At 42.5% G+C, this 15098-nt stretch overlaps 1 pseudogene, besides 1 other annotated feature; it reads left to right on the forward strand.

Annotated features, from left to right (window-relative positions):
• Nucleotides 3499-4386: an enhancer, noted in NCBI's record as "H3K27ac-H3K4me1 hESC enhancer chr1:116088427-116089314 (GRCh37/hg19 assembly coordinates)". NCBI's record gives its function as "activates a minimal SCP1, AML or CMV promoter by ChIP-STARR-seq in primed H9 embryonic stem cells {active_cell/tissue: H9 hESC(primed)}" and the evidence as "EXISTENCE:reporter gene assay evidence [ECO:0000049][PMID:30033119]".
• Nucleotides 14369-14745, forward strand: ELOCP20 (elongin C pseudogene 20; annotated as a pseudogene).

Below are 15098 nucleotides of genomic sequence, written 5' to 3' on the forward strand. Positions count from 1 at the left end.
GGCGGGTGTCATATATTGATTTATTTAACAAACATTCTTTGAGCACCTGCTGTATGCCAGACCAGTGCTGGATACAATAGTGAGCAGAATTCTGCACAGACCTGTGCAGGGAGGAGACAGACACAAACCAGGATGCTCAAGGAAGGCTTCTCTTAGGAGGTCTATAGTGTGGCCAGGAGTTAACTAGATCAGGAGGGTACAGAATATGCAAGAGAATCTCAGCCAAGGGGCTAGTCTGTGCGAAGCGTGTGGTAGGACACAGCACAACCTATTAAAGGAGCTGAAGGAAGGCCAGTGAGGCTGGAATGGACAGAAGGGTAGGGGCCTAAAGCCAGACAAGCCCAAAGAGAAAACGGGCAGCCTTGCGAGGCCTTTGAGAACTTTGGTCTTTATCCTTAGATCAATGGAAAGCCACTGGTGAGTTCTAAGCGAAGTGATAGGAACCAGATCATAGTTTAAGAAGATCACACTGAGTGCTGTGTGGAGAACACATTGAAGAGAGGCAAGATTGGAGATGAGTGACCACACAGCCAGCTATTTTAAAAGCCCAGAAGAACATAGTAGTGGTTTGGGGGTAGTGGTGAAAATGGAAAAAATGAAAAACTTGAGAGGGAGTAAGAAGATGAAACCATAGGACTGTGATTGAATGGGAGTAGAAGGAAAGGGAAGGCTTTCAAGGACTTGTTTTTATTTTTATTTTTTAGAGATGGGGGTCTTGTTATGTCACCCAGGCTGGCCTTGAACGCTTGGTCTCAAGAGATCCTCCTGCCTCAGCCTCCTGCGTAACTGGGACTACAGGAACATACCACCATACCCAGTTACTTTCAAGGATCTGAATTCAGGTCTGTTAGTCTCCAAATAACTGTACTTTTAACCACTACTCCTTAAGAATTTGGTCATTCAGGATTAAGTTTAGCTGTATAACCAGAAACTCCAAATAATAAAAGTTTAAATTAGATACAAATTTATTTTCCACTCACATGAAGAAGTCCAGAGGTAGTCAAGTTGTGGCTAGTGAATTCTATTAGGGGTTCAGGCATCTGCAGTGTTCTTGCTTTGTCCTCCTTAGCACAATGTTTCCACCACTGGGTCCAGAGTGGCAGCCTGAGCTCAGCAATTCCATCTGCATTCCAGCCAGCAGGAGTAAGGATGAGGAGAAAGGGCATGTTTCCTTCCTTTGGGGGCGTTTTTTAGACGATACATACCAAACTTCTACTTGCATGTCATTTGCCATAACTTAGTCAATGGCCATACTAGCTGCATGGGAAGCTAAAAAATGTTACCTTTGTTTTGGGCAGTGAAGTGACCAGCTTAAAATTAAGAAATTGATTACTAAAAAGGGAAAAATGGTTATCAGGATACAACTAGTAAGCTCAACTACAACTGTTAGACCTAAGTCTGCAATGCTAAGCCACATAGTAAATGATGAAAAGTCAAAAGTAGAGACTTGAATATATGATGTAAATTTTTCTAGGTCGCAATTTTATGCATGGTTTAATGTTTCATTTTTGTCCAGTTGTTAAACTGTTTGCTAGATTAACAATATTCATCTTGAATGTAAAATGTTATAGCCACTATGGAAGACAGTTTGGTGGTTCCTCAAAAAGTTAAATCTAGAATTACCCTATGACCCAGCAATTTCACTCCTAGATATATACCCAAGACAGCTGAAAATATATGTTCACACAAAAATGTGTACACAAATATTCATAGCAGCATTATTCAAAATAGACAAAAATGTAAACAGCCCAAATGTCCAGTAATGATGCATGGATAAACAAAATGTGGTCGGTCCATACAATGAAATATTCAGCAATAAAAAGGAATGAAGTACTGATACATGCTAAGACACAAATGGACCTTGAAAGCATTATGCTAAGTGAAAGAGGCCAGACATAATGGCCACATATTGTATGATTCCATTTACATGAAATGTCTAGAATAGGGAAATCCACAGAGACAGAAAGTAGAGTAGCGATTGCCAGGGAATGGTGGGAAGGAGGCACAAGGGTGAGGTTTCTGTTTGGAATGATAAAAACGTTGTAGAAGTAGATAGTAGTGTTGGTTGCACAACATAATGAGGACACTAGAAATCACTGAAGTGGATACTTTAAAATGGTGATTTTCAGCCAGGCATGGTGGCTTACGCCTGGAATCCCAACACTTTGGGAGGGTGAGGTGGGCGGATCACTTGAGGTCAGGAGTTTGAAACCAGCCTGGCCAACATGGTGAAACCCTGTCTCTACTAAAAATATATATATTAAAAAATTAGCCAGGCATGGTGGCGGGTGCCTGTAATCCCAGCTACTTGGGAGGCTGAGGCAGGAGAATTGCTTGAACACAGGAGGCAGAGGTTGCAGTGAGCCAAGATCGTGCCATTGCACTCCAGCCTGGGCAACAAGGGCAAAACTCTGTCTCAAAAATAAATTAATTAAAATAAAATAAAATGGTGATTTTCTGATATATGAATTGTATCTCAATTTTAACAAATTATCTTTGGTTCCATATGCAGCTCTTTAAAAAGGAAAAAAAAAAAAAAACCCCTGATAAACGTTATGTGTATGTGTGGTGGGAGGCAGGTATTTTATACACACAATGGTTTGGTTAATTCTGATGTTTGTAAACAACACAGATTAATTCCAACTTTCCCTTAATGTCCTCAGAATCATATTTTAGCTGTAGGAAGACAAACATTTAAATTTTTGCTTGTATTTCGAATTTTTCCTAAGGATGCCTGTTATGGTCTGAATGCTTGTGTCCCCCCAAATTCACATTTTGAAACCCTGCCCCTTAATGTGACGATAGCAGGAGGCAGGGTCTCTGGGAGGTGATTAGGATAAGATGAAGTCATGAGGGCACAGCCCGCTTGAGTGGAAGTAATATCTCCCCAAGAGAGCTTGTTTCCTCTCTCTGCCGTGTGAGGACACAGACCAACCCTGGGACAGTGTTGGAGGGGAATGCAAAGGCGGCAGGATCCCCGGGAGCCATTGAGGAGGCTGCTTGCCCCGTGGAGACAGCAGAAAGCAGGCTTGACAGACCCAGAAACCAGAAATTCAGAGTGATGGTTGCCAAAGTGCTGTCACTCAGCCAAACAGGGACCTGGCTCAAATGTTGCAAAGTGAAGCCTGTATCTGCTCCACAGGAGCCACAGGCCAGAGGTCCGGCTGTTGGTGCTACTCTGGGACTATCACTCAGGACAGCAGGCACAGGCGAAAGGCGTCAGACCTGGAATGAGACCGCTCTGAGTGCCCCGTGCCCCTCACTCCCTCCGTGAGCCTGGAGAAGTCTCGTTCCCTCTTCAGGCCCCCTTTTGTAAAAGAGACGAGGCAACTGTTTTTCCATCTGGGCTCTCTGGGCTCTCTGGGCCTCCTGGGATCCGAGGATATAGGACCAAGGTAAGCTCTAGTTTCATCAGGTCTCTTTGGAGTTCATTTAAGAAAAAAATAAATAAAAGTGTACTACTGATCATTGATAACAAAAAGACAGGGCAAGCTTGAAGGCCACAGCACTACGGGAGGGTGATGCACCCTCTGTCTTCGCTTTGAATGCTCTGATCTCAGAATCAGTAAAGCCGTGGCTGTGGGATCACTCTCAGTCATGGTGAAGGTATGCGAAGAATCTGCAGTTATGTTCCATCATGTGGTTTGCTAACCAGAGGGAAATTACCCCTGTATCAGATGCCACAATAATTGTCATTCAATCATTTTCTTGTTGCCCAGAAGGGGAGTAATCATAAAGGAAGGGTGGTGTCAGCGGTGTTGACATGGGGCCAACATATCTGGATGGAAAGTGAAATCTCAGTCAGTCATCCAGGCTCAAAGCCCAAGCAGAGAGGCCCCCGGGAAGGAGCACAGGGCTGGGAGTGAGTGTGGGGCTGAGAAAGGGCTGTGCCAGGAGGCCTCCCTGCTCCACATTCCTCACCTGCGATCCCTCACAAGATGACCAAAACAACCCAGTGAAACTGCCTTGCTTGGAATACATACGCAGGAGGAAGTGCCCTAGCCACAGGAGGCTGTAATACACTAGAGGGCAGTGGTGCCCAAGGCCATAGGGAGGGAAAGTCCCATGGAATGCGGGCAGCCTTTCCCTCAATCCCTCTGACCATTCCTGTGGGGGAATGCAGGCCCAGGGTTGCCAGATTTTCTCATTTTCCAGTAGAAGCCAGAAACATGGGTTTTTATGTGACATTTTCCCATTTTTAAAATACTTTGCAGATCAAACAAAACATGTTGCTAGGCCAGAACTGATCCATTAGCCATCAGTCTACAACCCCTGAATTCCAAATGAGTGACTTCATTTTAATGAAAACACCAAGAAAATTAGGTAAAAGTGTTCATTCTCCTGAAAATTTGGTCCCTGGGAGCACATTATTTATTCAATCATCAAGTGCCTACTGTGTGCCAGGTACAAATAGAATGCTAGAAGTTTTCTATTTTCTCATCTCTTCTCTGACCATAGGTCTTCTTTTCTCTGTTTCATTCATGAACTTTTCTGTATATGGGAAAGTGGGAAGAAAAATAGAAGGGAAGAAAAATATAGGCCTGGAAAAAAAGTTTGGCAAGGTGTCATTCCACAAGTGGAGGGTAAAATTGTGTCTCCAAGTCCACCGTCTTCATGCACTGAGCAACTAGCACAGAGCTGGTCACCTGGTTATTGAAAGACACAGCAACAATTGTAGCATATGTTGGTTGGTCACCCATTACCTGCCAGACCCAGTGGTGTTATTATGTTACTAGGCGGTGAATTTTAGTCCTCATTATACTTCTATGAGTCAGGGACTTCCTTTTATCACAGGAGGAAACTGAGGTCTAAACAGACTAAGTAACTTGCCCAAGTTCATAGAGCTCTCAAGCTGTAGGCCTTAGATCTTAATGAAGTTGTGCCTGACTCCAGAATACACACCTTCACATTGTACTGAATGAATGAATGAATGAATGAAGAGTGAGTGGATGAGTAAGCTGAGGCCCTGCTCCCTCTCCCCCTCATCTTTCACCCTCCATTCCCACCCTGCCCTCCCAACTCATGTGCTGGTTCTGAGACTGAAAGATCAGAATTACATTTTTGCAGATTTCCCAAAGGAACATTGGGGCCATCACTCCCCTTAGTGCCTCAGGACACTAAGCTGGCTGGGGCATTGCCATCTGCCTTGGCCCTTCAGGAGATGTCAATGTCTAGATACCCACTTAGCTTCCTTCCTGTCACATTGATACACTCAGCATCATTTGCCTCTGAAATATGTTGTGTGAAGGGGAAAGATTTGAGAAAGCAGCATGTTTTACAGATCAAGAAGATTTCTTATTTACCAGTGTGCTAGTTTCTGTTATTTTTTTCTGTACCCTAGTGTATAATCAGAGCTCATAAAAGTGCTACCGTGTGGGAGGTCTACATTTCCTCTCTATTAAGCATCCCCAGATGTTCATAGATCCTGACACTTCATGCCTCCCGCCTTCTTTGGTTCACCTTCCAGCCTCACGGCTCCTCTTTGCTTCAGTTGAGGAGCCAAGCATGTCCCACTCTGTGGTTCACTAATCAGTCATCATTCCCCAACGTCGCAACTCAACGTCTGCCTAAAAGTCTGTTTCCCCCTTTATGTGGTCAGGTGTCTGTTATCTGCTCATATTCAGAAATCACTCTTTTATGAGAACCTGACTACCAACTGCAGATGGATTTCCTTGCTGCTTTTGGAAATCGCTGATAGCACTTCCTCCTTGGTGCAATCAGAGGAGTCCCTGTGTGGTACATGCTGACCCAGTGGCTAGACAGGGGTTCATCAAACATTTTTATACATTGCGGTTGGCAAACTCTCAATTTCAGGAGATGCTGTGATGAAGCAAGGAAACACTGTGGTCCTCCAGATAGGTCTGATGGTCTATTGTTGCAAAGTATCATACCCAAAGGATGCTTGGGATGGCCCAAGTAGGGGCTTTTCCCATGAATCCAGTCAAGGACCAGCTCCACAGGCTTACGGCTCTGGCCTGAGGGCTTTGATCTTTATAATTTCAGAAAGGACAATGCAGGGGCTTAGGATGATCCAAGACTTGGAGTCTGCAGAACCGGGATCGAATCTCACTCTGCCATGTACTAGTTCTGTGATATAAAGAAAATCACTGAAATTCAGGGCTTCATTGTCTTCACTTATGAAATGGGAATAGCAAGAACAAAAATCACTTCACAAAATTATTGTGAGAATTAAATAAGTGAGTATGTGTGGATGTATTTGGAACAGAGTAAGCTTTTATCAAATATTAAATGAATTTCCGAAGTGAAAAAAAATGAAGATGTCCTCTTTCATTTTCTCTTCTCGCCATTAAGAAGAGAAATAGCATCGCCACAGGTGAGGGGCCTGCACCCAAGCTCAAGAACCACTCTGTTGGCATGATGGCAGGACTCAGGCCATCCTAGTCCTAGTTTCTTGACTCTACCTAGCCAAGAAGTCTTGTGTCACTTCTTTACTCCTTTATTTTAAAATTTTATTATAAAAATTTTTAAACATACAGAAAAGTAAAAAGAATGGCATAATGAAGAATCTACTAGCTAGTTCCAATTATCAGCACTCTGGCATACTATAACATGAATGCATATATATGTATGTATAATATGTACACATGTACACACACACACACATATCTATTTGCTAAACTATTACAGACATATTGGTTCTTCATTCCCAAATACTTCACCAAGCATCTCTAAAAGTTGTCATTGTTTATATAATTACAGCAATATTATGCAGTAACCAAATTAATAGTTCCTTAATATCATTTATTATCTAGTTCATGTTAATACTTCCCCAATTATTTCCAGAATATATATTGTAACATTTTTAGAAATGGGGATCCAATCAAAGATGCATTTGGTTGTTAAATCTTTCAAAATATGTAACAGACCACTTCTCCCACTCCCAGCCTACTGCCACACACTTTGTTCACTTTCATACTAAATTCGACCCCTGGGCTATGACAGTGATCCATCAGCTGGCATCAGCTGGCACTTGAGCTGGCTTCTGAAGCTGGCTTGGATTGACAGAGCACAGCAGTGTGTGAAAGAGGCCTGAAAAAGGGAGCAGCATGGGTAGAGACACAGAAGGAGGGGGGCCTGGAGTGTGTATAGGACACTCTGAGCTGTTCAGTCCAATTAGAGGGCAGGAGTGTCCTACTGATACAACCCATCATGGTGGAAAATACAAACTTGTAGTCCATTTCCAGAAAGACCTAACTTGTTGTCAACCATGGGTATACTAGGTATCCAGAAGTCAGAACAAACATTTCTTCACTGTTACCTTGGAGTAGAGCTGCCTTTCCCTCAAAGAGTTACTGGGAGGTCTCTTTCCCCTCTAGTCTTCCTCCTTCATGTTGGACTCCTCGGCCTCTAGGACCTTGGCTTAAGTTCACTGCCACCTTCTTAACCTTTGTTGCCAAGCCCCATGTCCCTGGAGCTATGCTTTCATTAAAGAGCAGCCTCTACCAGGCAAGCTGGTGTCTCTCCTAGTAAACCGATTGCCTCTCATAGCTTTGATTCCTTATCATGCTAAAATGCACTAAGGATAGGGATGGTGAGAGGCAAGAGGGGTGACGGGAGCAAAGAACCCTGCACTGATAATTGAGACAGGCAGAATTCCCAAGTGGTAGAAAGTGGGTTTGGAAGCATAGGTTGAATTTGGTCACCAAGAATTTCTGAGCAAGGGAAAAGCCTAGTACGAACACTTGAAATGTGTCAATCTTGGAGTGAAGCATAAAGTAGGCTGGAAAGAAGTAACTAAATATGGGGAGATTCCGGTGGAGAGGCTATCTGGGAAGTGGTAGGTAACTCTGAAAGCATGAATACCACTATCCAAAGAGAATGCTGAGATAGAGAACACTGCTAAGGATGACTCTTCAGGGCACACCCATGAACTGGGAGGTCAAAAGAAGCACTGAGGAGAAGGTAAAACCAACTCATTCTGAGAGGGAGGAGGAGAACCAGCCCATCCCTGTATAACAGTAACAAGTGGAGAGATTTTCCAAAAGGAAAGATTGGTAGTAGTATCCCATGAGGAACTGCTGTTGTAGAGATAAGACCTGAGCAAGCTACTTTGAATGGGGTGTCCAACAGGCAACTTCCTTCAGGCCACCACTGGTCCATTGGCATCTGTCTTCCTTTCGGGGTCCTCCTCTGCCAGCCATATTCATCTCTCCACTGAACTCTGGGTCCCATCCCCTTCTGCCCCCTCGCTCAATCAGTCTCCCATCTCCTGTCTTAATCCTCAGCCAATGAAGAGGCTCAAGACTCTTCTATCTTAAAAATGTAAACCAACCAACCTCCCTCAATCTTACATCTGCATCCAAATCTTGTCTTCACTCTCTATTATGCCACATTCAAACTCTTTGAGGAACTTATCTGTGTCCATTTCATCTCCTTTCATTCATTCCTTACTGCTGTCCCTTTCATCAGTGCTATCCTCATTAGGTTCACTGATGCTCTCCATACTTTTCAGTCCAACAGGCAATTTTCTGCCTGTATCTTATCTGGCCCTGTAAGTCATTTGATAATATTAATTAATTTCTTTTGCTTACGATCGCCTCCTGCCCTGCTTCCGAAACAACACTTCTTCCTATTTCTCCTCACACCTCTCTGTGTGTTCCCTCTCCATCTCCTCTGCCTTGAAATGTGTTGGACTCCTTGGGCTCTGGGGCCTTGGCTTCACTTCACTGCCACCTTCTTGATCTTCATTGCCAAGCCCCATGTCCCTGGGGCCATGCTTTCATTAGAGAGCATAGCCTTGAGGTCTGTCCTCAGTCCTCTGCTCTCTTTATGCAGTACAGCCCTGTTGGGTACCTCTCTATAGGCCCGTGTGGCCACCACCATCTTTATGCTGATGAGCCCCTGATCATGTCTCCATCTCCGGGCCTCTCCCCTGGGTGGAATCTAATTGTCTACTGGACAGCTCAACTTTTATTCAGCAAACACTTATATACTATGTGGCAGGCACTGTTCTAAGCACTTTATAAAATATTAGCTTACTCAGTGCCCTATTTACTGGAATTTGAAAGTTTGTCCTCTCCCAAATGCATGTTGAAACTTAATTGCCATTGCAACAGTGTTAAGAGGTTGGACCTTTAAGAGGTTATTAGGCCATGTGGGCTCTGCCATCATGAACGGATTAATGCTATTATCAAGGGAGAGAGTTTATTATTGTGATAGTGGATCTCCTATAAAAGGAACGTTCTCTATCACTCTCTTTTTTGGAATTATGCAGCATCTTTTGCCAGTTGTCAACACCTTGCTATTGGATTTCTCAGCCTCCAAAACTAGGAGCCAATAAATTTCTGTTCTTTATAAATCACCCAGTCTCAGGTATTCTGTTATAGCAGCACAAAATGGACTAAGACAACATTCAAAGTTGAAAATTGCCATGACCAAACAATGAACGCACCCCCTTTCCACCAAACCTCCTTCTCCTCACTCTCCTTTGAGGTTGGTCTTAGAGAGAGGCATCTACCACTCATGCAACTGCTCCAGCCAGAAATGAATGGCTCCTCCTAGACACATCTCTCCTGAACCACCCAATCCTTCACCCTCTCTGCTCCACAGTCAGCAAGTCCCAAGACCTGTTTATTCCTCCTCTTTCTTACCCACCCCTCCCACATCCACTGCCACTACTTTAATTCTGCCCCTCACCACACCTGACCTGGATTCTCACAACAATTAGAAAACTATCCAAATGCTTTCTTCTTTTTTTGGAGACTGGGTCTTGCTCTGTCACCCATGCTGGAGCACAGTGGCATGATCACAGCTCACTGCAGCCTCAACTTCCCAGGCTCTAGCGATTCTTCCACCTCACCCTCCTAAGTAGCTGGGAACACAGGCACACACCACCATGCCCGACTAATTTTTGTATTTTTGGTAGAGTCAGGGTTTCACCATGTTGTCCAGGCTGGTCTCAAATTTCTGATATCAAGTGATCCACCCGCCTCAGCCTCCCAAAGTGCTGGGATTACAGACATGAGCCACCACACCCAGCCTCCAAATACTTTCTTCTAAAATACATTCTGATCCTGTCTCCACCTGTACCCTCTGCCCTCCTGCTTAAAGTCCTCCTATTTCTTCCCCAGATTACAGAATGAATAAAACTCAAAGTCACAGGAAATAAGATAGGAAAGTCCAGGGAAGCTCCCAGATGGCTATCTCATGCTTCTGCACATTCCTACTAAGCCCTTCCCCTCTTCTCTTTATAACCATCACAGACTCCTCCCAAAGTTAATTTTTCTCTCAGAAGCCTTCTTTATTGATTTGACCAACCCCATTGGTACTTTCACAGCACACATTATGTATTTATCTATTGTTGCATGTATTGTTCTGTCTTCCCATTGTTTATTTATTTGCTGGTCTCATCCACCAGCTGCAAACTTCTTAAGAGGAGGGACTGAGCCGTATTGAACTGTGACTCTCTAGTACTTCAGAAGCTTCTGTTGAATGAATGAATTAATGACAATAATTGTGTGATATTATAATTGAATAATTGACTGTTTAAGGGTCTGTGATCTAGGATCAATCCACCTCATTTAAAATCCCATTTCAACTGTCATTTACAAGATCTGTTCATTTGGGCACATATCATAATGCCCTATGGCTCACTTTTCTTGTCTACACAATTAGGATTAATAAGAGAACCCATAGGTTCACTGTGGTAATTAGATACTCTATAAATTATTAGTAAAATAACTAACATGTGAGTACTTAATAAATGTTTGCTATTACCATTTTTAAATTGGGAAATCAACTACTTTTCAGGTACTTGGAAGTACTTTTTTAAAATGCAGATTGAATATTCTTCCTGCAAAAGTTGTTATTAATTTTAATACTTTCTATAAATTGTCTTCATTTTTGTTAATTTGCAGAATTAAAACTTGATCTATAGCAAGGAAAAGTTCAGCTCAGCTCTTGGCATAATTATCACAACTTCCAAAAAAAGAGGAGCTGAATTAATGAGATGATGTTACCCTGTTGGAGGTCCCAGATTCAGATGACTGAGGGATATAATCTTTCATTCCAGGGACAAGGGGAGGCGGTGGGAATCTTGCCCCTCGCTTATGTTTACTGCCGTTTCCTGAGTCAGAAGAAGCTCAAAGATCAAGGTGTACACTCCAGAGACCCACTAATTGTGTTCACCCCTGCTCCCCAGCACATTTCAGGGACAGCCCTTTCTTTCACTGGTTGGAAAGAGCACGAAGTTGCAAGCATGTTTAATATGTGAATGCAATGTTAGGAATACTGCAGACCACTTAAATATCCTCTGAGACTAAATACAAATAATTTCTGACTCAGCCATAGATTTGGAATATAATACAGGTGAGGAATAACCCCCTCAAGCATACAGGAAGCCTGACTGCAGAATTTTGAAAGCCTGTCTTGGCTACTGAGAGATCATTTCAACAAATGATTAAACAGTATCACAAACTTAGTTGACAAACCACTGATCAGTTCAATTTTTTCTATTAATACCCTTTTACCTGCATGAACATTTATGTTTGGACCCAATCCAGCTGTTGCTGCTACCAGAAGGTTTATAGATGCATGCTGAAACACATCTAAGAAGTAACATCTGGAAATCTTTGAATTGCATTCTTCCTGCTAAAATATCCCTGGGGGAACAGGGGCCTCAAAAAGAGAAAAATCCAAATCTTTAATGGTTATTGTGAAGGGTGCAACATATTAAAGTTTTTCTGTCTTAATTAAAACTTCCAGGGAACAAAACAGAAATTGACCCAAAATTTGAATTGAAAAGGCATTAATTCCATGTGTAAATGAGTATCACCTTTTCAATTGTATTATTAATATGTCATTCTTCATCTTTATGAGATTGAAGATTATGAGGGCATCATCTTTAATACAAGTTTATAAAAACATTCAACCACTTGAAAGATCTGTGTTCAAAATCCTTTGTCTAGCAGTGGCGACAGATTTGCACTGACCCTTCATGGATACGTCTGCACCAAGGGACCTGGAGCAAAAAATCTCCCTAGATTGTTGCAAGGTTTAATGAGATAATGTACACGAAAGAACTTGCAAAATGAAGAGCACTTTATAAGCTGTAAAGGTCCACATTAACACAGACTGCTTGGACCAGAACTCACAGTACAGAAAATAGTAGAGCAAAGCAAAAGTGATTTGCTCAGGCAGGTACAAAACCACAATTCAGTGTTTACGAACCAGTGCTCAAACTACCAACGTAATATGTTGGCTTGCATCATAGACCTGTTGTTGGGGGGTGAAGGTGGGTCTAGTTTGTTGTTGTTGTTGTTGTTGTTTTTAATTTTAGAGCAGTTTTATTTTTTCAGACAACTTGAACAGAGTACAGAGTCCCCATAGACTTCCCCTCCCTCTCTTCCCCTGACACCTCAGCAGTTTCCACTAATAACATCTCCCATTAGTATAGTACATTTGTTACAATAAACAAATCAATACTGATACATTAGCTAAATTATTACAGTTTGTTATTAACTAATTCGATACATTATTAATTATAATCTAGATATTAGTATATTATTAACTGAAGTCCACAGTTTACACACGGTTCTCTTCCTGTTATACAGTTCTCTGGATTTCATCTAAACTTTGAAATTACTCCATATAAGGCTGGGCGCGGTGGCTCACGCCTGTAATCCCAGCACTTTGGGAGGCCAAGGTGGGCAGATCATCTGAGGTCGGGAGATTGAGACCAGCCTGACCAACATGGAGAAACCCTGCCTCTACTAAAAATACAAAATTAGTCAGGCGTGGTGGCACATCCCTGTAATCCCAGATACTTGGGAGGCTGAGGCAGGAGAATCGCTTGAACCCGGGAGGTGGAGGTTGCGGTGAGCTAAGATCGCACTGTTGCACTCCAGCCTGGGCAACAAGAGGGAAACTCCATATAAAAAAACAAAAAAAAAAAAAAGAAAGAAAGAAAAGAAATTGCTCCATATAGAATGTTATTCAAATTTGGGACTTCCTTCTCTACTTGTGGGTTTCAGATTTTCTGAGGCCACAGAATTTTTATAAAGGGTCCATAGATCCTGTGCAAAGCCAGCCTTTAGGGTAGACTGGACAATGTGCTTTTACTGGGCCCTGGAAAAAATATTTATTAATGAATGAGTGAAAAAGTATTCACTTATTCATTTATATACTGCTGTATTTCAAATTCCGTAAATGCCATTATATTTCAGTTATCTATACTGTGTTACAAAACACACCAAAACTTAATGGTTTAAAACAACAATGATTTTTTATTTCTCAGAATTCTCTGCATCAACTAAGTGGTTCTGCTGGTTGTGTCTGGGATCATTCACACAGCTGCATTCAATCAGCAGAGAAGCTGGTGATTGGGCTGATGGCTCATCCTCAAGAAGACTAGATCAGCTTCCTCACATAACGGCAGCCAGGTTCCAAGGCAAACCCCAGTGTGCAAGTACTTAGCAAGTCACTGCTTGTGTCAAGTTTACTGATGTCCCCTTGGTCACAGTGCTAACACAGTAAAGTCCATAATTAATGTGTCAAGAAATTGAACCAGGAGGTTTGATTTTCTGTGGACAGTGTAACAATCTACAATGTTGTAATTAATTATTTGTAAATTCATGTAAAGGAGTTATTGAGGCGGGCGTTGTGGCTCATGCCTGTAATCCCACCACTTTGGGAGGCTGAGATGGGCAGGTGGATCACTTGAGGTAAGGAGTTTGAGACCAGCCTGGCCAACATGGTGAAACCTGTCTCTACTAAAAATACAAAAATTAGCTGGGCATGGTGGTGCGCGCCTATAATCCCAGCAACTTGGGAGGCTGAGGCAGGAGAATCACATGAACACAGAAGGTGGAGGTTGCAGTGAGCCGAGATCGTGCCACTGCACTACAGCCGGGGTGACAGAGCGAGACCTTGTCTCAAAAAAAAACACACACAAAAAAGGAGTTGCCGAATCCATAATAGGTTTTCATCAGATATTTTCTCAATCATCAGAATTTTCATTAAAACTTCAGATACTCTTCTGAGAATCCATTAAATTGTCTGACATTGTAAAGAGATCTCTGTAGTTAAAAAGGATGGGAACCTCTAAATAAATGCACCATCTGCTAGGAATTTAAAATATTTGGTCTCATTGATGTTTGGGATGAGATTTGACATATTTGGCAAATGTTGCTTTAATGTTTATTATGTTTTCCACCATACTTAGGATCATGAGTGTTAAATAAAGAATGTTTAAAAAGTTAATTCATTATTGCTCCTTTGCTAAAAGAATAAAATGTGGAATTTGTTATTTCTCATCCAAGGCGGACTATGTCACCTGAATGCATCAAGCCCACCCCTGGCTCCTATGGCTTTAATGTGGCAGAAATCAAGGATAAAGCACCAAAAGTCAGGAACCCGTGGGGGCAGGCAGCTGGGAGTAGGGGGGCAGCCCTGGAGTAGTGATTGTGGCAGTGCACATGGACACAGCTGCAGCGGCTGTGGGGCTGCCAAGAAACTACTAAAGTTCCTGGTGAAGCAATGTAGAATTTGATAAGAACATATAGATGGAAGGAAAAAAACCTATGGTGACTGTGAAGGCCCTGATGCCATGTATGTCAAATTGATATCATCTAGTGGTCACAAAGTTATTGTAAAAAGAGAATATGCAGTAACATCAATAACAATAAAGGCTATGTTGAGTGGCCCAGGTCAGCTTGCTGAAAATGAAATCAGTGAGGTCAGTTTTAGAGAAATCTCTTCACATGTGCTATCAAAAGTATGCATGTAAGCTGCATGCTGTGGCTCAAGCCTATAATCACAGCAGTCTGGGAGACCTAGGTGGGAGGATTGCTTGAGCCCAGGAGTTCAAGACCAGCCTGGGAAACAGAGTGAGACCCCGTCTCTCCCAAAAAAATTAAAAATAAGCTGGGTGCAGTGGCATACACCTGTAGTCCCAGCTACTTAGGAGGCTGAGGTGGAAGTATCCCTTGAGCCCAGGAATTCAAGGTTGCAGTGAGCTATGATCACACCACTGCACTCTAGAGTGGGTAACAGAGCAAGACCTTGTCTTTTAAAAAATATATATGCATATATGTTACATACAATGGTCACTACACTAACAGCTCCACAGAGATTCTCAA

The sequence above is a fragment of the Homo sapiens genome, chromosome 1, assembly GCF_000001405.40.
Source record: "Homo sapiens chromosome 1, GRCh38.p14 Primary Assembly".
Taxonomy (NCBI): Eukaryota; Metazoa; Chordata; class Mammalia; order Primates; family Hominidae; genus Homo; species Homo sapiens.